This window comes from Homo sapiens, chromosome 19 (genome assembly GCF_000001405.40).
Source record: "Homo sapiens chromosome 19, GRCh38.p14 Primary Assembly".
Classification (NCBI taxonomy): Eukaryota; Metazoa; Chordata; class Mammalia; order Primates; family Hominidae; genus Homo; species Homo sapiens.
The window spans coordinates 11,869,964-11,894,666 of NC_000019.10; the positions used below are offsets into that span (position 1 = coordinate 11,869,964).

Sequence of the window (24,703 nt, forward strand, 5' to 3'; positions counted from 1 at the left end):
TAATTTTTCTTTCACTCATAATACCAAAAGTTATCTCATGTATCTCTGAGTACCTTCTTGCCCAAAACCAGCAGCGCCATACCTGCTGTCAGCAAGGGTGTAATATACCATAGTGATAAATATGACCAGAAGACATAAATGACTGTGGGATGTATGAGAATTACAAGTCACATTGGTAAGAAGATAAAAATTTTCGTCATGTTTATGATTTGAAATATGTTTACTTCTATCAGTTTTAGAAATACAGTTACAAAATGCCCTTGTTTTTGTCCTGGTCCATCATGATCACTGAGGAGCATCATCTCATATGCCTGATATGTAACATGTGTCTCTCCAACAGTAAAAGACTTGGCCTTGGCTGGGTGTGGTGGCTCACACCTGAAAACCCAGCACATTGGGAGGCTGAGGCAGGCAGATCACCTGAGGTCAGGAGTTCGAGAACACCCTGACCAATATGATGAAACCCTGTCTCATCTAAAAATACAAAACTTAGTCAGCCATGGTGGCATGCTTCTGTAATCCTAGCTAGTCAGGAGGCTGAGAAAGGAGAATCACTTGAATCTGGCAGGCAGAGGTTGCAGTGAGCCGAGATCCCATCATTGCACTCCAGCCTAGTCAACAAGAGCGAAACTCTTTCTGAAAAAACAAAAACAAAAACAAAAACAACTTGGCCTTGTGGTGAGGGGAGGTCAGCTATAGACTTCTGGACCTGTTTTTGCCTTACTTATTCTGTAAAGACTAAAACATTTTCTAAAATGTATGGGCACTGTTAACTAGAAGGTACCTTAGTTAAAATATATAAATTCATTTACGCTTTATAAAGCTATATTTTTTTCAAATTGCTTTACTGAGTCATAGGAGGCTAATAAATTTGTGTAAATTGTCTAAATAAAAGCCTTTCTTCCTCTGATAATGTGCTGTTGATGCTAACTTGTCAACAGCCTGCTTATCTCAGCAGTGTAAAGTTAACGGTAACATGGAAAAGTCACTTTTATATATAATGCAATGGCTAGAACAATTCTGTCACTTCCTGTAAGGTCCAGTGAAGCTGCTCTTCAGAAACAGTTATTTAAAATCCTTATAGTCTAAATCTAGGCACCACAGGATGCAGAATCAATCACTGACCAAGCCCTGTCTGTGTGTGGAGGTGACACACCCAGTCCCAGATAATGTATCCACATCAGTGAAGGGAGGAGTCATTGATTGTCGGATCACACAAAGTAACTCAGAACAGGGAAGACAGGGCAGTGAAACCTGGCCAGGCATGGTGGCTCACACCTGTAATCCCAGCACTTTGGGAGGCCGAGGCAGGTGGATCACTTGAGGTCAGCAGTTCAAGACCAGCCTGGCCAACATGGTGAAACCCTGTCTCGTCTAAAAATACAAAAAAATAGCTGGGCATCATGGTGTGTGCCTGTAATCCCAGCTACTCAGGAGGCTGAGGCAGGAGAATCGCTTGAGCTTGGGAGGTGGAGGTTACAGTAAACTGAGATCACACCATTGCTCTCTCCAGGCTAGTCGACAGAGCGAGACTCCATCACACACACACAAAAAAAGTTGGGTGCACCTGAATCCAACCCCTGCCTCATCCTTCTGAATTGAAGGCCAAATGCACCCTGATACTTTTCACCAAAGAGTAGAAACAACACCATTCACTTGACCCCAAATGTGACTTTCCACAGGATGCAAGCACAGTGTTGGAATAGCCAATGACAGTGACAATAGAAGTGCAGGGTGAGGGTGATGAACAGGACACACTGGAGAGCCTGACATTAGGCTAGATATTGGGGTGTCTTGATGCTTCACAAAGAGCCCAAGGAGCACCCCAAAGAGGACACTGGAGCACAGGCCCAAAGGATCTTCGTATGCCAGGAAGGCCACTAATTTTGGAAGTCAGTGATGTTGGTGGGTTTAGCTTTGGGAAAAGAAATAGGGAAAATCTTTTCTTACAGCTTGAGAAAAATGAATAAACTTCCACAACAAAGTATAGTAGATAAATTGGTGAATTACAAAGATTTAGCAAAATATCAGTCCTCCTTTGCAAGTTGGAGAACTTGTAACAGTGGATAACTCTTCTCTTCCTATTATTTGTGAGGTAACACCTGGCTGGCAACTGTTGTCATATGTTTGTGTTCACATGTGATTAATATGTAGTATGGGCTTTGTTATCATGGAAATCATAATGAAATAATATTGTCCACCTTAATAAGATAACAAGATTCAGAGAAGATGATTAAATATTGAGTATTTCTGAGCACAAAGTTTGAGGATAGCCACTGGGGAAACAGATATCCTGAAGAGTGGGGTCAGTGCTCCAACACGGGGAAGTTGAGTCTTCACTTCTGTAGGGCAAAATGTAGACGCTTAACAGGGTGACATTTTCCATACAAGGCCAGTGCACACATTTCAGTGATTTGGTTGGTTGCAGCTACCAAATTTCAATGATGATTGCCTTAACTTTTTGTAAGGAGGGGTAGTGGTCTCAAAAGGATCCTACCTCTGTCACTTCCCACTCTTTTCTAATCATTTACAGCCCAAGAACAACAAAGATAATTAATCTTTTTGATATTCACAGGAAAGGAGCTATTACATGGTAGTGTAAACACATTTCTCAATATGTTTATTGACTGAAAGGGTTAGATACTTTTACTTTCCCTCATGAGGGATGAAAGGTAAGTACCTTATAATTTCCTTCTAGCCTATAAACATAAACCGAGTTTGAGAGATTTTGCTGGATTCTTCAAACGCTGGGTATTTTCTCATTGAAACAGAGGCCAGAGTCCAGTGACTGCAAGCTAAGGACAATGAGAAGCCTACAAAGAGAGGTTATTGAAAGCTCACGTCAGGCGGTGACTCACACCTGTAATCCCAGCACTTTGGGAAGCTGAGTCGGGCAGATCATCTGAGGTCGGGAGTTCGAGACCAACCTGGCCAACACAGCAAAACCCATCTCTACTAAAAACACCAAAATTAGCCAGGTATAGTGGCTCATGCCTGCAGTTCCCAGCCATTCAGGAGGCTGAGGCACGATAATCGCTTAAACTCTGGAGGCAGAGGTTACAGTGCACCAAGATCGTGCCACTGCACTTCAGCCTAGGTGACAGAGCGAGACTCTGTCTCCAAAAAAAAGAAAAAAAAAAAAAGCTCTCACTTGGTTCTTCCCATGGTGCCCCCACTGCAGGTGTACCAGCTACTCACGTTGACCATGGGAGGAGCCCTTTATAATAAAAGAATCTCAGAATCCTGGAAAGCTGGGGATCCACAGGCAGATGCAGTAGTCAGTGATGCCGTGCGCAAGTGATAATTTTTGTCATGGGGCTTTTTCTAGACACTTCTAGTGAAACAAATGTGGGTTTAGGTAAGAAATAACTTTTAATTCTAGACCTTGAAGTCAGCTTGTCATTAAAAGAGGTCATTTAAAAAAAAAAAGTCTAGGTACTGGACTTGTAAGTAAAAATAAAAAGATTAAATACCTAAAATGGGGTTGTATATAGGCTTAGAAGGAGTCAGTCAAAAATTCAGGGGCTGCTGGGCGTGGTGGCTCATACCTGTAATTCCAGCACTTTGGGCAGATCACTTGAGGCCAGGAGTTCAAGACCACCCTTGAAACATGGGTGAAACACCCAGCATAGTGAAACACCATCTCTATAAAAAAATACAAAAATTAGCTGGGCATGATGGCACACACCTGCAACCCCAGCTACTCCGGAGAATGAGGCATGAGAATCACTTGAACCAGGGAGGCAGAGGTTGCAGTGAGCCAAGATCATGCTACTGCACTCCAGCCTGGGCTACAGAACAAGACTCTGTCTCAAAAAAAGAAAAAAAAAAAAAAAAAAAAAAAAAGTTCAGGGACCTGGAGGAAGGAGAGAAACTGAAGCATGCTTTGATTAATAGATATTTCATTTTGACTGATCACTAAAGACAAAGCTATTCACCTAATGGTTTGTGAGGTGAATACTGGAATTTCTAGTCTGTGTCTGGTTTGTCATAGGTAACAAACGTGGCATCATCTAAGTCATAAGGGGAAGGGTGTTTTGTTGTAGTAAGGTGCTCTTGCACAACACAAAGGATGGGGGATTTCTTGAATCACACCTCTTTTCAGGATGACCCACCCACCCCCATCTCCTTTTCACACCCCTTACTCTCTTTGATTTGGCTGCTCCTGAGTTGTATCCTTCATAATAAGTTGGTAAATGTAAGTGAACTGTGGGTAGTTCTATCAAATTATGGAACTTGAGGAGGCTGTTGTACAGGACCCAGGTCTAGATGCAGTTGCTGAGAAGTACAGGTGGCCCCTGGGGCTTTGAGTGGCATCTGCTGAGTGGGGCTGTGTTGGGTGAGCCAGGAACTCATGGAGTCTCTGCTAACTCTGGGTGGCTTCTGAATTGAGTGGTTGCATGACTGCTTAGTGCTGGAGAATTCGCTGGTGTTCAGCAAGCACCACACATTTGGTGTCAGAAAAAAAGACAGCATAGGTCAGAACCTTCCACTGACTCACAGTGAGCGAGTGGTCTTTGGTGGGCATTGAGACCCCGGTGGAAGGACTGTGTCCACACTGTGGGGAGGGGCCAGCAGGGTGTGTGTGGAAGTCCCAGAAGTAATTTTCTGGCTGCTCACATTTCCCTCACACACTACCTAAGAGTGGGCCAGCCTGGCCTGTGTCTCCACAGTCCCAGTGGTTCCTAAGCTTGGGAATGTGTAACTATTGGAGTGTGGGTTTCCTTGTGAGCTGTGGGTGAGGCAGGCTGCCTACCTGAGCTGCCTCCCTTTTGTTTCTTTTACAAAATCTTGCTGCCATGGAATTGCTCTTTCCCCACGCCTCTGAGAATTTATTTTATTTTATTTACTTATTTACTTTATTTATTTATTTATTTTTCACACAAAATCTCACTCTGTCGCTAAGGCTGGAGTGCAGTGGCGCAATCTCGGCTCACTGCAACCTGTGCCCTCCAGGTTCAAGCGATTCTCCTGGCTCAGCCTTCCAAATAGCTGGGACTACAGGCATATGCCACCACACCCTGCTCTTTTGTGTGTGTGTGTGTGTGTGTATTTTTAAAGTTATGGCAAGTTTTCACCGTGTTGACCAGGCTGGTCTCAAAGTACTGACCTCAAGTTATCCACCCACCTCAACATCCAAAGTTCTGGGAATAAAGGCATGAGCCACTGCACCTGGCCACATCTAAGAATTTTATTCTATGATTTGCATGTTAGGATTTTAATTAGCTGGTTGGAAACTTAGTGAATATTTTGATAATCTTTGAAGAAGGAAATCGAGTTCTTGAAATAAGCTGTTTTGTGCCAAGTCAAAATAATAACAATATGAATACTCAGAGACATATCACCCCAAAATGGATAGGCCTTGGGCAGTTCTGGTGTGTCTCCTTGGTCTCACTTATTTTTCGTATGCAAAGGTGATCAAAGTTTTGATTCCTTTTGTTATTTTTTGTAGCTTTGTCATCTCTTTGTCACAAAGCAGAATTTTGCCACCTTTGAATTTTCAGTAACATAATACTACCATTAATACACCATTAGTATTATGCTGAGAGGGTGTATTTCTGGGTTTTTCCCTGAGCCTGTTGCAAACATGCTGCTGTGTGAAGTTGTGGGTCATGTAATTGACTTGCCTATTTCCCTGCTTAATGGGACTTGAGTTGGTTCAAGTCTATCTTTGTTCTTATTGACAATTCTCTTCTTGTTTTTGTTCCTAATTGGAAATACAACACAAATTCTTACATGTTGGGAAAAAATTGCTGGGTTGTAGATTATGAATAAATACAAAATTACTAGGAAATGTCGACAGAGTATGAATGTAACTTATGGATTAACCATCTCACCTTTCATAGATGTGTCTTTATTCTTGTGATTTGCCAACACTTTGAATTATCTAACGTACTTTTTATTGCCCATTTACTCTGAAACACAATCTCTGTGTGATTACGTATTGCTTTTTACTGGTTGCCATTGGTTTAGCATTTTTCCTATATGATCTTTCATCTCCTGTTTAGCTGTTTCCAGTCATCCTCTTACATTTGACTAATTGGTAGTTATTTTTCTTTCTTTTTTTCTTTTTTTGTTAATTTGACACAGCCTTGCTCTGTAGCCCAGCTGGAGTGCAGTGGTCACTCACTGCTCCCTGCAGCATCAAGCTCCTGGGCTTGAGCAATCCTCCCACCTCAGCTTTCTGCCCAGCTAATTAAAAAAATTTTTTTGTAGAGACAGGGGTCTCACTGTTTTGCCCAGGCTGCTCTTGAACTCCTGGGCTCAATCAGTCCTCTGCCTTGGCCTCACAAAGTGCTGGGATTGCAGACATGAGCCACTATGCTCAGCAATAGGGTTTTTTCTTTTTTTTAAACCATGTTTCTGACCAATATTTTATTAAAATCTTTAAGAACTGCATGCTAACAAAGGTTATTCTGTTCTGTTTTTCATTTTCTGTTTTACATTTTCATTATGATTACTTGTTTTTCTTTTTTATTCTCATTTTTTCCTAGATAATTACAATACTTTTCCATGTAGTGGCCCTGGCATGCATTTTCATCCTTCATGCAATCATACAGCTACCTCGATGTCCCTTCTCTCTGCCATTCTGAAATTGGACCTCACTCCTTTGTGACTCTTGCTCCCCATCTGCTATGTGATAAAGTCCTGTCTGATTACATCGTCTCCAAAGCCTCTTTTTGGACTTCTGTTTACCCCTTGGCATGCCCTGCATTTACTCTCTTCAAAATATATACTTAGAGGCCGGGTGCGGTGGCTCACGCCTGTAATCTCAGTACTTTTGGATGCTGAGGCAGGAGGATCCCTTGTGCCCAGGAGTTTAAAACCAGCCTGGGTCACATAGGGAGACCCTGTCTCAAAAACAAAATTTATAGTTACAAGTCCTAAACCCCAACAGGGTCATATTTGGACACGGACCTTTTAGGAGATCACATACATTTATAAAGGAGGGCTCTCACAATGGGATTAGTAAGAGAGAGAGAGAACTCTGCCTCTCCAGCATGTAAGGACAAAGCAAGAAGGCATCTAGCTGCAAGCCAGGAAGATAGCCTTCACTAGGAACAAAATTGTTGGCAGCAAGATTTCAGACTTCCCAAGCTTCAGAACTGTGAAAAACAAATTTCTGCTGTTTAAGAAACTGAGTCCATGGTACTTTGTTATACTAGCCTGAGCTAAGTCACCCCAAGAGTCCTCACATTAACCATATACTGTCGTACAAGTGCTGCATTTGGATCTACCTGTAATGTCTCCAAATCTACTTTTCCTTTTGGACCCATTGTGAGAACAGGTTTGCCTCATAGACAACTGCTGGTGATATTAGTGATAGCCTACCAACTAGGGACTAAAAAGAAAGTTTTTCTTTTTTTTTTTTCTTGCTTTTTTTTTTGAGATGGAGTTTTTGCTCTGTTACCCAGGCTGGAGTGCAATTATGCAATCTCGGCTCACTGCCAGTTCTGACTCCCAGGTTCAAGTGATTCTCCTGCCTCAGCCTCCCAAGTAGCTGGGTTTACAGGTGCGTGCCACCACATCCAGATAATTTTTGTACTGTTAGTTAGAGATGGGGTTTCAACATGTTGGCCAGGTGGTTCTCGAACTCTTGACCTCAGGTGATCCACCTGCCTTGGCCTCCCAAAGCACTAGGATTACATGCATAAACCACCACACTCGGCCTCTCATTCATATGTGTGTGTATATTCTGTTTTTAATAAAAATAGAGACTAGGCCTATGTTGCCCCGTGTGGTCATAGCCCAAACTTTTGGGCTCAAGCGATTTACTCACCTCAGCCACCCAAAATGCTGGGATTAAGGCATGAGAAACTGTGCCAGGGCAAATGAAAGAAACTTAGTGGGAGGCCAGGCACGGTGGCTCACACCTGTAATCCCAGCACTTTGTGGGGCTGAGGCGGGTGGATCACCTGAGCTCAGGAGTTCAAGACCAGCCTGGACAACATGGTGAAACCACATCTCTACTAAAAATACAAAAAAATTAGCTGGGCATGGTACTCCCATTCTCACAGTCATGCAAAGGCTCTTTCTTAAGGATTCCACCTGCTGGAAAGCATTATATACTGCCTGCACTGACTCAAGAGTGTCTGGTTTCATCTCCATGTCATAATTACAACCACAATCCTAAAGGGACTGATTTACCACACTGTGGTTGCCGTAAGTCCCAAATTGTACCCTCAGCAGCAACTATATCATCCCAAGTCACAGCTCTACCCTCTAAAGGTGTGCCTGAGGCTTGTGCCTGCCATACTAACACATTAACCTGTCCAAAGCTTCCTTCAGAGCTGTGTCCCAGTCCCAAAGTGCCCCTTTCTAAAACATTGGGCTAAGTGTCAGATAAATGCTCTCCAATAATCCAAAGACCAACAAATGTCTGGATTTTTTTTCTTAAGAGAAATAGTATGGCTCTGTTTCCCAGGCTGGAGTGCAGTGGTGGGATCATAGCTCACTGTAGAAACTCGGGCTCAAGGGATCCTCCTGCCTCAGCCTCACAAGTAGCTGGGAGTAAAGGCACATGCCACTATGCCCGGCTGTTTTTAAATTTTTTGTACAGATGGAGTCTCACTCTATTGCCCAGGCTGTTCTTGAACTCCAAGGCTCAAGTGATCCTCCCACCTCAGCCTCCCAAAGTGCTGAGATTACAGTTATGAACCAATGCACCCAGAACTCAAAAAGGAATATTTATAAGGGAAAATATCTAATGTTCAAATTGTTATGTATAGAGCAGTTAACGGGAACTATCATTTAGGGTCTATGGGATTCTAGGACACTAGGTATGAAACAAATATGAGGAAGGTCAGAGAACAAGCTGACTTGATGATTAATGCTGAAGGTGCCGCAAGCTTGGTTTAAGTTTTCCTCCTCCCATCCTCCCTGATGAATTTGATAAAGTTTAAAGGGATGGTTTCACCGGGGGCTTTTTCCACTGACTGCAAGGAGGTGATCCCGCTTGGTAAATCTTCAGTAGGCCAAGCCTCTTACGTGGCTAGAATGATCCAGTCCATAAGGAAATGTCACCACCTGCTGTATTTTACACTTTGACCATCAAAGGGGTACAGGGTTTCCCCAGGGAGTTTGGTGGGATTTTAATTTTTTGTTTGTTTGTTTTGAGACAGTGTCTTGCTGAAGCGCAGTACCCAATTATAGCTCACAGCAGCCTCAAACTTTGGGGTTCAAGTGACTCTCCTGTCTCAGCCTCCTGAGTAGCTGAGACTGTAGGTACACACACTTCTCCTTGGTAATTAAAAATTTTTTATGGAGATGGGAGGGTCTCACTTCACGGCTCAGGGTGGTCTCCAATCTCGGGCTTCAAGCGATCCTCCCACTTTGGCCTCCCAAAATGTTGGGATTACAGGCGTGAGCCATGGCACCCGGCCTCCCAGGCTGTTGTTTGAAGGTCTTTGCAATCTCTAAGAGTTCTGCAGCAATTTATTCCCTGACAGTGAGAGTCTCATCCTTTGACCCCATTTTGCCGCAGTAGCTGAACGTTCACTTTTCTTTCCATAAGGGGGCGAGCTTGCCAGTGACCCTAATCCCTCTCCTCATCGATGACTTCTTTGTCATCAGAGCCTTCCTCTTCATAAATTCCCACGGAATCCAAGTTTTCACGTCCCAATCGGGCTTAGTTATGATAGCCACAGGCCCACACCAGCTGCCACAGCACCCCTGTCCCATGGAAACCGCCTGACTCTCTTCTCCCCAAGCGTCCTGTCCCAGGAGCCCCCATCATCTCTGCTCCCCCGGGCTCCAGGCCCTAGAGCCGCGCTGCTGCAGAGCCCGGTTCCCAGGGCTGCTCCCTCCATATATCCACATTCATCTCCAGCTCTCCACCCTCTCTCCAACCAGCCAGGCCCGGAGGTACTGCAGTGTCACTGAACGTGCGTCCCTCAGCTGCCACCTCCACCACGATCTGGAAATCTTTTAAATGCACTTAAGTTATCTTAGAATTTTCCTTCCCCACTTTATACATAAACATAGGAGGAGAGCAGGGACTCTGCTGGTGTCTTATTCACACAATGGGATTGAGGGTGTTTGTGTCATGGAACTGATCAATGGGGTGAGAAGTAGCTGAATAACCTGCAGGGGGCAGCAGAGCCCGAGGCCGGTGACTCAACGCTGAGGCCAGTGTGGAGCCTGCAAAGGAAGGGAAAGGAGCCTTTCCTGGGGGCTTCCGGGCAGCCCGCCCTCCCCTACAGGTGGCCTCCAATTGCTCAGAGCAGCTCCAGAAGGAGTGCGGATTCCGAGAAGCTGAAGAGCCCTGGAAAGCAGAAGACCCACATGCACACGTATGTGTGGGGGTTCTGTCCTTTCTGGTGTTGTACCTCTGGAGCCTGGGGCTGTCTTCTGGGCAGGGTTTGGGGTTTGACATGCATGGGGCCACTGGGGTCAGATTTGTAAGATACAGTGAATTTCTTTAAGTTTTTCTTTAAAGATTTAGCCTGCTAACTTCCTCGTCTTTTGTTCTCAAACTCAACTTTCCTGTTCCTCCTTGCCCCTAGTTACTTTAAAACAGCCTACCCCGTTCCCATCAGCTCTAATCAATAACTCACATCTGTTCCCTTGGTTACCTGTACCCATTGTTCCCCCAAAACTGCACATCTCACATGCTCCACCTCTGTACCTCACATCCCCCTCCCCTTCTATATTTAGAAAAATATGTACAAGCAGCCAATCGGGTCAGCTCAGACTGTGCGGTCCGACCCCAGCCCATGGGGGAGTAACACAGAGATAGGGACCGCATTAAGGATAAAAACCTCCTGGTCTCCTTTGTTCTCTGTGCTCTTGTGATCTTGATTGACGTGAGTGGCACCCTTCTGCAGTAGTAAATTGCCTTGCTGAGAGAATTAAAATTTTGCCTGAGTGCTGGTTTTACTTCACGGCACCAAGCTTTTATTCCGGGAGCATTTTATATCCAACAATTCTAGGGGATCGTCCGAGATCCCCATGCTCCTTTTGGAAGAGTTCTTCAGTCACCCTACCCTGGGGAGACGCGTCCCACTGCCCCATTGCGGTGGCCTCAGGGACAGGAGATCGAGACCCACCCATTTTGACGAATAAACCCGGACTCTCAGCAACGCGGGGAAGAGAGGCTTGCAATACCGCAGCGACCAGGTAAACTCTGTGCACAGACCAAGGTGGGAAACGTTGCAGGGGCAACAAAGTAATTCTTTGGTAGTCGGAGGGGTGTGTCAGGGCATTCTGGGGGTTGAAAGTGCATGAATGGTAACAAGCACTACTGCTGTGCGGAGCGAGTGAGTCCAATCTGCGGTTCTGTGGTCACCTCACACGGCTTAGGGCAGCCCTGCGGGGGTCCTGTCACAGGTTTATACGGACCTGCCATCAATGCTAAGAGGAACCTGAAACAAACCTGCGAGGGAAGCGGCCAGAGTGGATGAAGCGAAAGAAGGGTGCAAGGAACCTCCAGCAGGTGGAGCTAAAGGATAGTGGAATTGAGCCTTAGCCACACTTCCAGTGAGGGATAGGCAAAAGACCTCCTAATATGAGGGGTTGAGCCACAAGGAACCCCCCAAATAGGCAAGAGATCCTTAATTTGAGAGGCTGAGCCACAAGGAACCCCCAAAATAGGCAAGAGATCCTTAATATGAGGGGTTGAGCCACAGCAAGCCCCCCTAGGCAAGAGATTCCTATCACGAGGGATTGAGCCTAGCCAGGACCCAGTATAGGAAATATTACAAGCAAAAAAGACAAAGTTAGCAACAAAGATATCCCCCCTAATAGTCCCCTAGGTCTCATGTTAAAACATTAGAAAGATAATGAAAAGACTAAACATAAGAAAAAGCAATTAGTGATAAAATATTGCTGTTCCATTTAGACTCAAGAACGAATCCTTGAACCCTTAGTTTTCTGGCCAGAATTTAAGTCGAATGAGGGATGGATTTGTGAACTTCTAATAGAAAATGTTGCTAGTAGAAGACCTGCCTCCTGAGAAGAAACAAATTATGCCCTATGTTAGTTGCAAGGAGTTGTCCTTTCCCCTCCTCCAAGGATTGAAAGGAGCAAGTCAAAAACTAATATTTGGAGGAAAATGAGTTGTACATGTGCCCTATTAAGATAGAACCATCTTTAATGAAAAAGACAGTGAAGGAAGGGGCTTGGGGGATCCTAGCAAAAAGAACAACTCGCAAGATCCCCTAGACCATTCCCCACCTAATACCCAACCCTTCCCCTCAGGCATCGCCCAGTAAGTCTGTTCTTCCCCAGCCTAAGTCCCTCTCCCCTAAAGAACTCCAAGCTCCTAATTCACCAGATGGCTTTTGCCAGGCTAGCAACATGAAGGATCTGCCGCAACATGTTGTCAGCGTTGTCTGGCCCATAGTGCACCCCTGCAGCGGCAAAGCCCATGCTCCTGCCCACTGGCTGGTCCAAGGTCCTGGCACTGTATTGACGGCAGCTCTGCATGACATGCGAGCCAGGCCCCAGCCTATGCCCCATGCAAACTACATTATAGGATATCTGCCTTACTTTGCTGAGGCTAAGTAATACGGGGCTTCAGCGATGGCTCCAAGCAGCCTGGCATCCCCGCAGCTAAGTTTCCTGAGCAAGAAGTAGATAATCTTTCAGCGGATATATCCACTAGCATTTATTATAGTCAGGCCAGTGTTAAAAGTGAAAATATCCACCAGAAAAGAACTCTGATTCTTTAAAGTCACCTATGTTAAAATGTACCACCAAAAAAGAATTACATGTGTATAAATATGAGGCTATTCTGTTAAAAATGATAGTTTAATGTTACTAGTAATTTGCTTAACCTAACAAGTTTCTTAACGAAAGATCCAAATCTAAAAAGGAAGCACACATGTTTAGATTTAACTGATTACCATACAAATGTCCGGCCAAACTTAAGAGAAACCCCCTTCAAAAATGATTAAAGGAAAAAGGATTCAACAGATGTTCAATAATAAATAGAGAAGTTCCTAGAGAAATAAAATTTAAAAATTGTTTAATAGTTTACCCAAATTTGTAAGCTGTTTGCACTTAGTCAAGCTTTAAAGTAACTGCAAAGGAACCATCTATACTAATCTATATTGATTCTAAATACACCTTTATCGTGGCTCATACATTTAGAAAATTTCAGACAATAATAAAGGTCAAAGCCTTGTTCATGAAGAGTTAATAACCCAAGTGTTAAATAACCTTCAGTTACCAGAAAAAAAAAAAAAGCTATTTTCCACGTCCCCAGGCACCAAAAATCCTATCTTTCAAGAGTTAAGAAAATAACCTAGCAAATCAGATAATCCGAACCAGCTGCCGTTTCTCCTGTAGGCACTGAAGGGAATTCAAATGTTATTTAAACCTCTTATGAAAGAAGTCCTATCCCACCTAAATTAGAGGACCCATTAAAGACCTCAAGCTATGTATAGCACAGTTAAAGTTTATATGTGTATGAAAATGTACATCCTTAGCCAAACAAGTCTAGAAACTTAGTTGCCATAACTCAAATGTCTTCTGTCTTCCTATTAATCCAAACTACCTCTCAAAGCAATCCACTGCCAACATTCCTACATACTTGGTTTATCTTCCACTTTCTCTTCCCTCAAAACTCACAATTTTCCAGTACAGGTGCGGCTCCTGGAGTTCCCAGTGCGTCAACACCGGCCTGAGGAGCTGGCCTAGTACTTCCCACCATTGAAACTGCAGTCTGGACAGCAGAGAAAGGATAGACCCATCACACCCGAGTCAAGAAAGCACCGCCACCCCCAAAGTCGTAGGCCATTATTCCAGGGGAAAACCCCCTCAAACTAAAGCTAAGAAAAATTTAACCTCTTACATCTATTCTATTACTCTTTCTTCTTTTCCCCTTCCAATGCTGACCACCTTGTCATTAATGTAACTCAATCAAACTCACCCCAAGTTATCACGTTTAATGCTATGTCTAGTCATACCCTGTAAAGATCTCCAAAGTCAAAGACAAGTCTCAGCCTCAGAAAAGTATCTCTGCCCCTTTAAGGTGAAAGGCCCCCCCTACCAAGACTCTTGTTCCTTAACAAATATAAGAAAACAAGTCTGTCATAGCTAGAATGATGTCCTATGGACAACCAAATGTCAAGGCTAGACCTCATCAGCAGGTGGCTGTATATCCTTAAAACCATACATTCATTTCACTAAAAAAAGCACCTCCCCAATTGCCAGTATAATCAATGTAATCCCATACAAATTTCCACCTCTACTGACCCTAAACCTACTTTAAGTCACTTCTATGGAACAGGAGCCAACTTGGCCAGCACAGACCTCATAAGATCTTTCGAAATGCGTTTTATTAATCCTTCATTCTCTTCACCCCCTTCCTTCTCTTCTCCTTCTAAGCTTTCTTCTAATCAGACTGCCACCTGTTTTCTACCTAATGATACTACTAAAGTAAATATTGTAGAAGTAAAAGATTTAAGACAAACCCTAGCAATTAAAACAGGATATCAAGATGTAAATACCTGGTTGGAATGGATTCAATATTCCGTCCGCACATTGAACAAAAGCAATTGTTACGCTTGTATGCATGGCAGACTAGAGGCCCAGACTGTTTCCTTTCCACTAGGATAGCCCTTCAGCCGACCAGGCATAGGCTGTATGGTAGCTCTTTTCCAAAATTCCACAGCCTGGGGCAACAAATCATGCCAAGCTCTCTCTCTGCTATATCCCGAAGTCCAACAACCTGCAGGCCAGCCCCCAAAGGCCATTCAGCTTCCTTCTCCTGACGTCAATTTCACCTCATGTCTCTCACGACGAGGGGAGAATCTGGCGTTCCTTAGAAGCTTAACAAGATGCAATAAGCTTAAGCCCTTCCAAAAACTTACCCATCAGTCTGCCCTTAGTCATCCTCAAGCAGATGTATGGTGGTATTGTAGTGGACCTTTACTGGATACTCTGCCAAGTAACTGGAGCGGCACTTGCGCTCTTGTCCAATTGGCGATCCCTTTCACACTGGCATTTCATCAACCAAAAAAAAAGAAAAGCCACAACACCAAAAAATAAGAGAAGCCCCTTATAAGTCTTTTGACTCTCAAGTTTACATAAAGGCCATTAGAGTCCCATGGGGAGTGCCTAACAAGTTCAAAACCTGAGACCAAATAACTGCAAGATTTAAACCCATATTTCCCCGAATAACTATTAATAAAAATGTAGCTTCGATAAATTACATCTATTATAATTAGCAGCAGTTTATGAATTACACCAAGGATCTTATCAAAAAACAGCTGACCAGTTAAGGCCTACTAGCCAAATAGCTTAAGAAAACAGAATCACTTGACTGGGCGCGGTGGCTCATGCCTGTAATCCCAGCACTTTGGGAGGCCAAGGTGGGCGGATCACAAGGTCAGGAGATCGAGACCATCCTGGCTAACATGGTGAAACCCCCGTCTCTACTAAAAAATACAAAAAAAGTATCCGGGCGTAGTGGCGGGCACCTGTAGTCCCAGCTACTGGGGAGGCTGAGGCAGGAGAATGGCGTGAACCCGGGAGGCAGAGCTTGCAGTGAGACAATATGGTGCCACTGCACTCCAGCCTGGGCCACGAAGTGAGACTCCATCTCAAAAAATAAAAACCAGAATGGCTCCAGACATGTTATTAGCCAAAAAAGGTGGAGTTTGTGTTATGATTAAAACCCAGTGTTGTACCTTCATTCCAAACAACACTGCCCCCAGTGAGAGCATAACAAAGGCCTTGCAAAGACTTACCGCTTTATCCAATGAATTAGCTAAAATTTCTGGAGTCAATGACCCTATTTCAAGATGGCTAGGAAAGTAGTTCAGTCAATAAAGAATCATAGCCTCAATACTTATTTCTTTTACAGTCGTAACAGGTGTACTTATTCTTGTTAGGCGTTGTGTCATACCATGCATCCGTAGGCTAATACAAAGGATTGTACGAACAGCATTTACTGAAACCTCCCTTAGTTCTCCTCCACCTTATTCAAGTAAGCTTTTCCTTTTAAAAGATCAAATCAAACAGCAAAGCCAAAACACGTTAAAAAAGTTTAAAGAGAAAAAATCATAAGAAAATTAAAAGGGAGGAATTGTAACATACAGTAAATTTCTCTGAGTTTCTTTTTTTTTTTTTTTTTGAGACGGAGTCTCACTCTGTCACCCAGGCTGGAGTGCAGTGGCGTGATCTCGGCTCACTGCAAGCTCTGCCTCCTGGGTTCATGCCATTCTCCTGCCTCAGCCTCCCGAGTAGCTGGGACTACAGGCGCCCACCACCACGACTGGCTAATTTTTCGTATTTTTTAGTAGAGACGGGGTTTCACCATGTTAGCCAGGATGGTCTCGATCTCCTGACCTCGTGATCTACCCGCCTCAGCCTCCCAAAGTGCTGCGATTACAGGCGTGAGCCACCGCGCCTGGCCTCTCTGAGTTTCTCTTCAAAGACTTAGCCTGCTAACTTCCTTGTCTTTTGTTCTCCAGCTCAACTTTCCTGTTCCTCCTTGCCCCTAGTTACTGTAAAACAGCCTACCCCCTTCCCGTCAGCTCTAATCAATAACTCACATCTGTTCCCTTGGTTACCTGTACCCATTGTTCCCCCGAAACTGCACGTCTCACACGCTCCATCTCTGTACCTCACGTTCCCCTCTCCTTCTATATTTAGAAAAATACGTACAAGTAGCCAGTCGGGTCAGCTCAGATTGTGTGGTCGAACCCCAGCCCATGAAGGAGTGACACAGAGATAGGGACCGCATTAAGGATAAAAAAACCCCCGGTGACCTTTGTTCTCTGTGCTCTTGTGATCTTGATTGACACAAGTGGCACACTTCTGCAGAAGTAAATTGCCTTGCTAAACAAATGAAACTTTCCCCTAAGTGCTAGTTTTACTTCGTGGGACCAAGAATTTATTCCTAAAGCATTTTATATCCGACAGAGATATTCATATATATAAAGAAAATGTGGGCCAGGCGCGGTGGCTCACGCCTGTAATCCCAGCACTTTGGGTGGCCGAGGCGGGTGGATCACTTGAGGTCAGGAGTTCAAGACCAGTCTGGTCAACATGGTGAAACCTTGTCTCTACTAAAAATACAAAAAATTAGCCAGGCGCGGTGGCATGTGCCTGTAATCCTAGCTGCTGGGGAGGCTGAGGCAGGAGAATCACTTGAACCCAGGAGGCGGAGGTTGCAGTGAGTGGAGATTGCACCACTGCACTCCAGCCTGGGGGGACAGAGCGAGGCTCTGTCTCAAAAAAAAAAGAAAAGAAAATGTGTGAAGATCAGGCTAGAGACAGAAATGTTTGGGAGCGTCACCTGGATAAAGGGTTCATGAAGTTGGCAGTTTATTTAGGTCAAAAGCTTAACTTAACCCCTGGAGAGAGTTTCCTGCTGGTGAAAATGAAGATCTGGAAGGAGGAAGCATTTTCACACTGTGAGGAGGGGATGGGGGTGTGAGAGCAAGTCTTAGCCATGCCTCATCCCCAGTTGCGGCCCGCTCCAAGACATATGCCTCTCCTCCTGGCGCAGTCGTGTCTGGCCTGGTCTCGGTTCCCCTGCTGCTCTGAGGCAGGAGATGGCTCCTGTGGACACTGAATCTGAAATTCCCTGCACACTCCTGTGACCCCATGCAGAACGAAGGAGCAGGGACAGTCCCTTGAGTGAGGAAGACGCTAGTGTTCTCCTCTATCAATAGCAAGTTTGGCTGAAATGCAAATATCCAATAACCAGAGTGCAGGAAGGAGCTCGCCCTTGGAAAAGCTGTGGTCAGAATCCGTCTGTCTGGCTCTGCAGGGCCCGATACCCAGGGCTTCCGCTGTCACTCAGACATGGGGGGCGGGGCCTAGCATTCCATCCAATCAGAGGCATTGTGGCGGGTCCCTGCCCACTGTTCCTCCAGACACTGAGGGGGTCGCATTCCTTACCTCACCTTTGTCCCTGCGCGGGCTGCGGCTGGGATCCGGTCTTTCCAGCCCCGAGAGGGACCTGGTTCCTCTGCCCAGGCTTCTGTCACTCTGTCACCTACGCTATGCCCTGCTGTAGTCACAGGAGGTGTAGAGAGGACCCCGGGACATCTGAAAGCCAGGAAATGGTGCGTGTCTGGGGCCGGGTGTCGTGAGACGGGGGAGGGGCTGCCTGGACCGACCGGAACCGACTGTGGCGAGACCCTGGCTTTCCTGCGGGCGACTTTGGGATCTGGGACCGAGTCCTCCTGGAGCCGCTCGGCCCTCGGTCCCCTCGACTGCTCGGTGTGGCTGGGCCGGTAGCCGGGACACCAGGCGTCCTGTCTCGTCTCTGCGCGGCGACTGCGGTTCCAGAGCCCTCTATGGGCAGCTCCGCGCCCGCAGCCACGCGTCTACCCAGATTGTGCGGGGGCCACGGGAGGGTCATGTGGGTGATCCCGACTCGGGTGTGGGGTTCGTGCTTGGGAGGAGCAGCGGTCTGTGGGGCCCCCAGTGTCCACTTTTTCTCCTGTTAAAAATTAAACTGAGGAACGTTAACAAAGAGTTCATTTGAGCAAACAGCGATTCACGAATGAGACACACCCAGTCCTGGCTTGTGGTTTGTCAACGGAAAAAGCCAAACTATGTAAAATAAAGAAGTTTATTCGGAGCCGAATAGGAGAGACCTTGGCCGAGGGAAAAACAACCCCAAGAAGCCTGGAGTAAGTGGTCCCGAGGCGGCTCAAGACAGTTTGGTTTTATTCATTTTAGAGAGACAGGAATTGCAGGGAAAATCATGAATTAGTGCCTGGAAGGTGTAATTTCCTTAGGCAGAAAGGGAGGGACCTGGCCGGGCACGGTGGCTCACGCTTGTAATTCCAGCACTTTGGGAGGCCAAGGCGGGCGGATCACCTGAGGTCAGGAGTTCAAGACCAGCCTGGCCAACATGGTGAAACCCCGTCTCTACTAAAAATATAAAAAAGAAACTAGCCGGGCGTGATGGTGGACGCCTGTAATCCCAGCTACTCGGGAGGCTGAGACAAGAGAATTACTTGAATCCAGGAGACAGGTTGCAGTGAGCCCACACAGTGCCACTGCACTCCAGCCTCAGCACAGAGTGCGACTCTGTCTCAAAACAAAAACAAAAACAAAAAACAGAAAGGGCGGGACCTGTGGAAGGGGGGTTAGAAGGCACAGGTGGTTGAGGGATTCTGTAGGTGGCAGCTGGTTGAGAGTGTGAAGCTTTGTCTAAAGTTTGGAGGAGGTAGGAAGGAATGCTGAAGGAAGGGGGTCTGTTATCTGCCACTTGATTCCATCCCAGCCAAAAAACAGACCTGTTTCTCTAGATTTTATGAATTCTAAGGTGTGACTTACCCTTGTCTTGCGTGGCCTTAGGTCTTGTTTGTAATTTGGTATCTTCTTGCCACAAGGAGTCTGTTTTTCCAGTCAGATAATGTCTGTTTTTACATGAATGTGCGTCAGTTGCTGCATGTAAACTCCTAAAGGGAGAGGGTATAAGGAGGCCTGTCTCACCTCCCATCCTGTCATACAGAGGCACTCAATTTTCAGGGTTTTTTGGGGGTTCCCTTGGCCAAGAGCCGGTCACTTCACTTACCTGGGAAGGTACTTTGTTTTTGTTTTTATTTAAAACAGAGTCTCCTTCTGTCACTCAGGCTGGAGTGCAATGGCTCAATCTCGGCTCACTGCAACCTCCACCTTCCGGATTCAAGCAATTCTCTAGCCTCAGCCTCCTGAGTAGCTGGGATTACAGGCACGCACCTGAAGGGGGCCTGCCCCTCCACCCCTGTGGGTGTTTCTTGTCAGGTAGAGACAAGAGACTGAGTAAAGAAATAAGACACAGAGACGAAGTATAGGGAAAGAACAGTGGGCCCAGGGGACCGGCGCTCAACATGCGAGGACCTGCACCGGCGCTGGTCTCTGAGTTCCCTCAGTATTTATTGATCACTATTTTTACTATCTTGGCGAGGGGAGTGTGGCAGGACAACAGGGTGATGGTGGGGAGAAGGTCAGCAGGGAATCATGTGAGCAAAGGAACCTGTATCATGAATAAGTTCAAGGAAAGATACTGTGCCTGGATGTGCAGGTAGGCCAGATTTATGTTTCACTTTATGCAAATATCTCAGTGTAGCAAAGAGTAACAGAGCAGTATTGCTGCCAGCATATCTTGCCTCCCACAGGGCGGTTTTCTCCTATTTCAGAATAGAATGAATGGTCGGCTTTACACAGAGACATTCCATTCCCCGGAACGAGCAGGAGACAGAAGCCTTCCTCTTATCTCAACTGCAAAGAGGCCTCCCTCTTTCACTATTCCTCCTCAGCACAGACCCTTTAGGGGTGTCAGGCTGGGGGATGGTAAGGTCTTTCCTTTCCCACGAGGCCGGATCTCAGGCTGTCTCAGTGGGGGAAAACCTTGGACAATACCCAGGCTTTGTTGGGCAGAGGTCCCTGCGGCTTTCCGCAGTGCACTGTGCCCCTGGTTAACCGAGAATGGAGAATGGTGATGACTTTTACCAAGCATACTGCCTACAAACATATTGTTAACAAGGCACATCCTGCACAGCCCTAAATCCATTAAACCTTGATTCAATACAGCACAGGTTTCTGTGAGCACAGGGTTGGGGCTAAAGTTACAGATTAACAGCATCTCAAAGAAGAACAATTTTTGTTAGTACATACCAAAATGGAGTTTCTTATGTCTTCCTTTTCTATGTAGACACAGTAACAATCTGATCTCTCTTTTCCCCACATGCACCACCACGCCTGCCTAATTTTTGTGTTTTTAGTAGAGATGGGGTTTCACCATGTTGGCCAGGCTGTTCTCGAACTCCTGACCTCAAGTTACCTACCTGCCTCGGCCTCCCAAAGTGCTGAGATTCCAGATGTGAGCCACCTCGCCAGGCCAGAAGATAGATTTTTATTTTTAGTTTATAGGTTGAAGCCTCAGCTTTTATAAGGTACATGAGGAGACAAACCAGATAAATGCTTGATTGGTTGCAGAGATGCAGTCGCCTTATTTGGACTTGCCAGCCCGAAATAATTCAAAGGTTCAGATTTCAGTTTGAAGAGTTTATTCAAGCAGAAAGATAGCAATGGCCCATTCAGGAAAAAAAACAGACTCCAGAGAAATGGACTCAGTACTCTAAAATTAGAAGTTAAGTTCTTTCTTATATTACCAGGAAAAGAGGTCCTGATCAGACCCCAAGAGAGTTCTTGGATCTCACACAGGAAAGAATTCAAGACGAGTCACAAAGTGCAGTGAGAAGGGAGTTTGTTGAAAGCTACTCTGGGCCAGCATGATGGCTTAGATCTGTTTTCTAAGCACATTGGGAGGCCGAGGCAGGAGGATCACTTCTAGTCAGCAGTTCGAGACCAGCCTGGGCAACATAGGGAAACCCCATCTTTTCCAAAAATAACAAAAATTAGCCGGGTGTGGTGGCTTGCACCTGTAGTTCCACGTACTCGGGAGGCAAGCGTTCAAGACCCAGCTGGCCAATGCAGTGAGAGCCTGTCTGTATTAAAAAAAAAAAAAAAGAAAAGAAAGAAAGGAAGGGAGGGAGGGAAGGAAGGAAGAAGGAAGGAAGGAAGAAAAAGGAAGGAAGGAAGGAAGAGAGTGATTCTCTGTTACAGAGTAGGGCATCCTCATAAAGCAAGTGGAGGAATGTACTAAGTTTTTCTTAGGTAGGGATCTTGTCTATGTAAAGACTAAACTAAGCTGTGCCTACCTGCATGGGGGCTGACAGCATCACAAAATTTATTACTCTATTGATTTAAAGAAAACTATCCTTTACATTTTAGCACCCAAGTGCATTAAAACAACTATAATTATCTTGAAAGCACATATTGTTATGGGTATTGGGACATCAGGACATTCTGTTGTTGTGGGAGTGTAAGGATACTTGCAGGCATCTTCAGGCTGTTTTCTTCATGGGAAACTTTATGATCATGGGTTGTGACTGGCAAGGAGTGTTTCTTGTTAGTCTCAAGATGGAGCTGAACTTAAATTGGTGTTTCTCTGGCTCCCCTAGGCACCTGCTTCCCTAACACTTGTATAGGGAAAAGGCAAATAAATATAATAGGATTGCATTTTCCATAGAAGGCTGATGTATGAGGTACAATAATTTAATTTTATTTTTTTCTTTGAGCGAATGTCTTGTTCTGTGGCCCAGGCTGGAGCAGTGGTGCGATCATGGCTTACTGCAGCCTTGACCTCCCTGGCTCAAGCACCTCAGCCTCCCAAGTAGCTGAGACTACAGTCGCCCACCAGCACTCCTGGCTGATTTTTTTTTTTTTTTTTTTTTTTGTATGCAGGTGGCATCTTGATATGTTGCCTAGGCTGGTCTCTAGCTCCTGGCCTCAAACAGTCCTGCTTCCTTGGCCTCCAAAAGTGCTGCGATCACAGACGTTAGCCAGTGCACCTGGCTAGCAACTTAATTTGTTATGGTTTGCTTTTTTCCCCCAGCGCTTGTTTTCTTTTCTTTCTAGCTGTTTTTTATTTCCTTTTCAATTTAAAAGAGTGAATTCAACATTCCAGCTGAAGACAATGTGATAGCCATGAAGTCTTTGTGTGAGAAAGTTAAGAGGGAAGTTAGTCTACTACAGAGATCAGTAGTGAAGAGGGGCCCAGTGGGATGGCTCACACCTGTAACCCCAGCACTTTGGGAGGCTGAGGCAGGTGGATGGCTTGATCTCAGGAGTTCAAGACCAGCCTGGGCAACATAAGTGAGATGCCATCTCAATTGTGAAAAATCATATTAAATAAATAAAAAAAAAGTGAAGAGGGAAAGGGTCTTTCCTGTTTCCCTTCAGTCATTTACAACATTTTACAAAACACTATAGGTAAGAAAGAAGGCGAATCTGTAATCAGGGAAAGGAGAGTTCCAGCTGGCTATGTGAAAGCTGTGTGTCATGTGACTCAACCCCATGATTGCATTGCTTCAAGATAGAGATCCACCAGCTTAAATATTTGAATTACTTTGTTGTTTTTGTTTGTTTGTTTGTTTTGAGACAACTCTGTGGCCCAGGTTGGAGTGCAGTGACATCATCTCAGTTCACTGCAGCCTTTGCCTCCTGGGTTCAAGTAATTCTCCTGCTTCAGCCTCCCAAGTAGCTGGGATTACATGCATGTGCCACCGCACATGGCTAATTTTTGTATTTTTAGTAAACACGGGGTTTTACCACGTTAGCCAGGCTGGTCTCCAACTCCTGTCCTCAAGTGGTCCGCCCACCTTGGCCTCCTGAAGTGGTGGGATTACAGGTATAAGCCAGCTTTCCTGGCCTGACTTAGGTAGAAATTTTCTAGTTATGTAATCAGAGGTTAATTGGTGGATTCTGCCTGATTAAGCATAAATTTTGTTTCCCTATAGATTAATAATTTTGAAGAGTTGTATTTAAATTTGCTTTCAGGGTCTTTAAGTAGGACCTTCGGACACTGCATACAGTTCGGTCTCATTGTTTTTTATTTAAAATTTTCCACAATCTCCAGGGAGACTGTTTTCCCCTGGCATTTTCCAAATATATGGGATGCCGGATCTCAAATCCTCCACCCTCATACCACAGCCTGACTCTTCAAGGGCTTGCAGTGAAATCTGTGTCTGAACATTTCACATGAGAGGAAAGCAGTGAATAACCACTAGACATTTTCCCGAAAAATCCTTTCTGCCTCTCCTCCTTTTATCTTTCCTAGACACAGTCACCTTATCAGGATGTCTTTGGGATGCGGTTCCTTTCTGGAAACATTACAGGGTGATGTGTCTTCAGTGCACCCTCCTATCTTTTCCTGGTTTTGGGTTTTAGAACTGCCCGGGGCTGACTCAAGATGCCCACAACTGCCATGTCTCCCGGAGGGTCTCATGGGTATTAGTGCCTTAGGGGAGTGGGGCCTCCCGAGGGAGCAGCTGAATGCCTTGTGGTGGAGGAGATGCCTGGTATACTCTTCATCTACATAACCAATTCTTGGGGTGCTCAACTTCTCTCTCCCAACTCCAATTTCCATTAATTGGAGACACATAGACAGTCAGCCAATTGGATGTTGCTATTGAGGAAAAAGAGAAATGATTCCTGTCCTCTGGATTGTCTCAACCGTGAAGGGAGAAATATCCCAAAAGACAAGGAACAGCCACTCCAACATAGTGGAGCAATTGCCTGCAAAGCAAGATATGCATGGGGGTACACAGGGGACACAATGCAGTGTTGGTGGGAAATAGTCATTGAGCACTTCTCCTTTCCTCTCATGTGAAATGTTCAGAGAATCACCACCAGACACTCCCGTGTGAAAATTTGTATGCATCTCCTCCTTTCATCTATCCTAAAAACAGAGATCTTTTTTTTTTGAGACAGAGCCTTGCTCAGTCGCCCAGGCTGGAGTGCAGTGGCACGACCTCGGCTCACTGCAAGCTCCGCCTCCCGGGTTCATGCCATTCTCCTGCCTCAGCCTCCTGAGTAGCTGGGACTACAGGAGCCTTTTAGTAGAGACAGGATTTCACCATGTTAGCCAGGATGCTCTCTATCTCCTGACCTCGTGATCCACCCGCCTTGGTCTCCCAAAGTGCTGGGATTACAGGCATGAGATACCCCACCTGGCCTAAAAACAGAGATCTTATCAGATTGTCTTTTGGTTGAGGCTCCCCTTTGGAAACTTCAAAGGGTATTGTGTCTTCAGCACACTCTCCTATGTTTTCTTGGTCCTGGGTGGTAGAATGGGGTGACCTAATATTCCCACAGCTGCCATGTCTCTTGGAGGGTCTAGTGAGTATCAGCCCCTGAGTCACTCCTCCCAGGGGACAGACTGAGGTAGGAGAATGGGGACTCC

The 24,703-nt window shown here is 45.4% G+C and overlaps 1 protein-coding gene and 1 pseudogene across 8 annotated transcripts in view, besides 3 other annotated features; one reads left to right on the top strand and one right to left on the bottom strand.

Annotated features, from left to right (window-relative positions):
* Positions 1,659 to 1,893, bottom strand: VN2R14P (vomeronasal 2 receptor 14 pseudogene; annotated as a pseudogene).
* Positions 2,631 to 2,925: an enhancer, noted in NCBI's record as "tiled region #10901; HepG2 Activating DNase matched - State 8:EnhW". NCBI's record gives its function as "activates a minimal TATA promoter and a strong SV40 promoter by Sharpr-MPRA in HepG2 cells {active_cell/tissue: HepG2}" and the evidence as "EXISTENCE:reporter gene assay evidence [ECO:0000049][PMID:27701403]".
* Positions 11,358 to 11,537: an enhancer, noted in NCBI's record as "active region_14036". NCBI's record gives its function as "activates an Ori minimal core promoter by ATAC-STARR-seq in GM12878 lymphoblastoid cells {active_cell/tissue: GM12878}" and the evidence as "EXISTENCE:reporter gene assay evidence [ECO:0000049][PMID:35858748]".
* The window catches only part of ZNF69 (zinc finger protein 69), a 92,441-nt gene continuing 85,556 nt past the window's right edge, over positions 17,819 to 24,703 (top strand). For 7 of the 8 annotated variants that reach the window (XM_017027231.2, XM_006722874.4, NM_001321163.2 and 4 more), the window contains exon 1: positions 17,819 to 18,023. In XM_017027231.2, the coding sequence (XP_016882720.1) occupies positions 17,961 to 18,023 (63 nt within the window). In that variant the 5' untranslated portion in view covers positions 17,819 to 17,960. Of the gene's footprint in view, positions 18,597 to 24,703 lie in introns of all 8 variants that reach the window. The other variant, XM_047439351.1, reaches the window with a different exon arrangement.
* Positions 18,016 to 18,065: an enhancer, noted in NCBI's record as "active region_14037". NCBI's record gives its function as "activates an Ori minimal core promoter by ATAC-STARR-seq in GM12878 lymphoblastoid cells {active_cell/tissue: GM12878}" and the evidence as "EXISTENCE:reporter gene assay evidence [ECO:0000049][PMID:35858748]".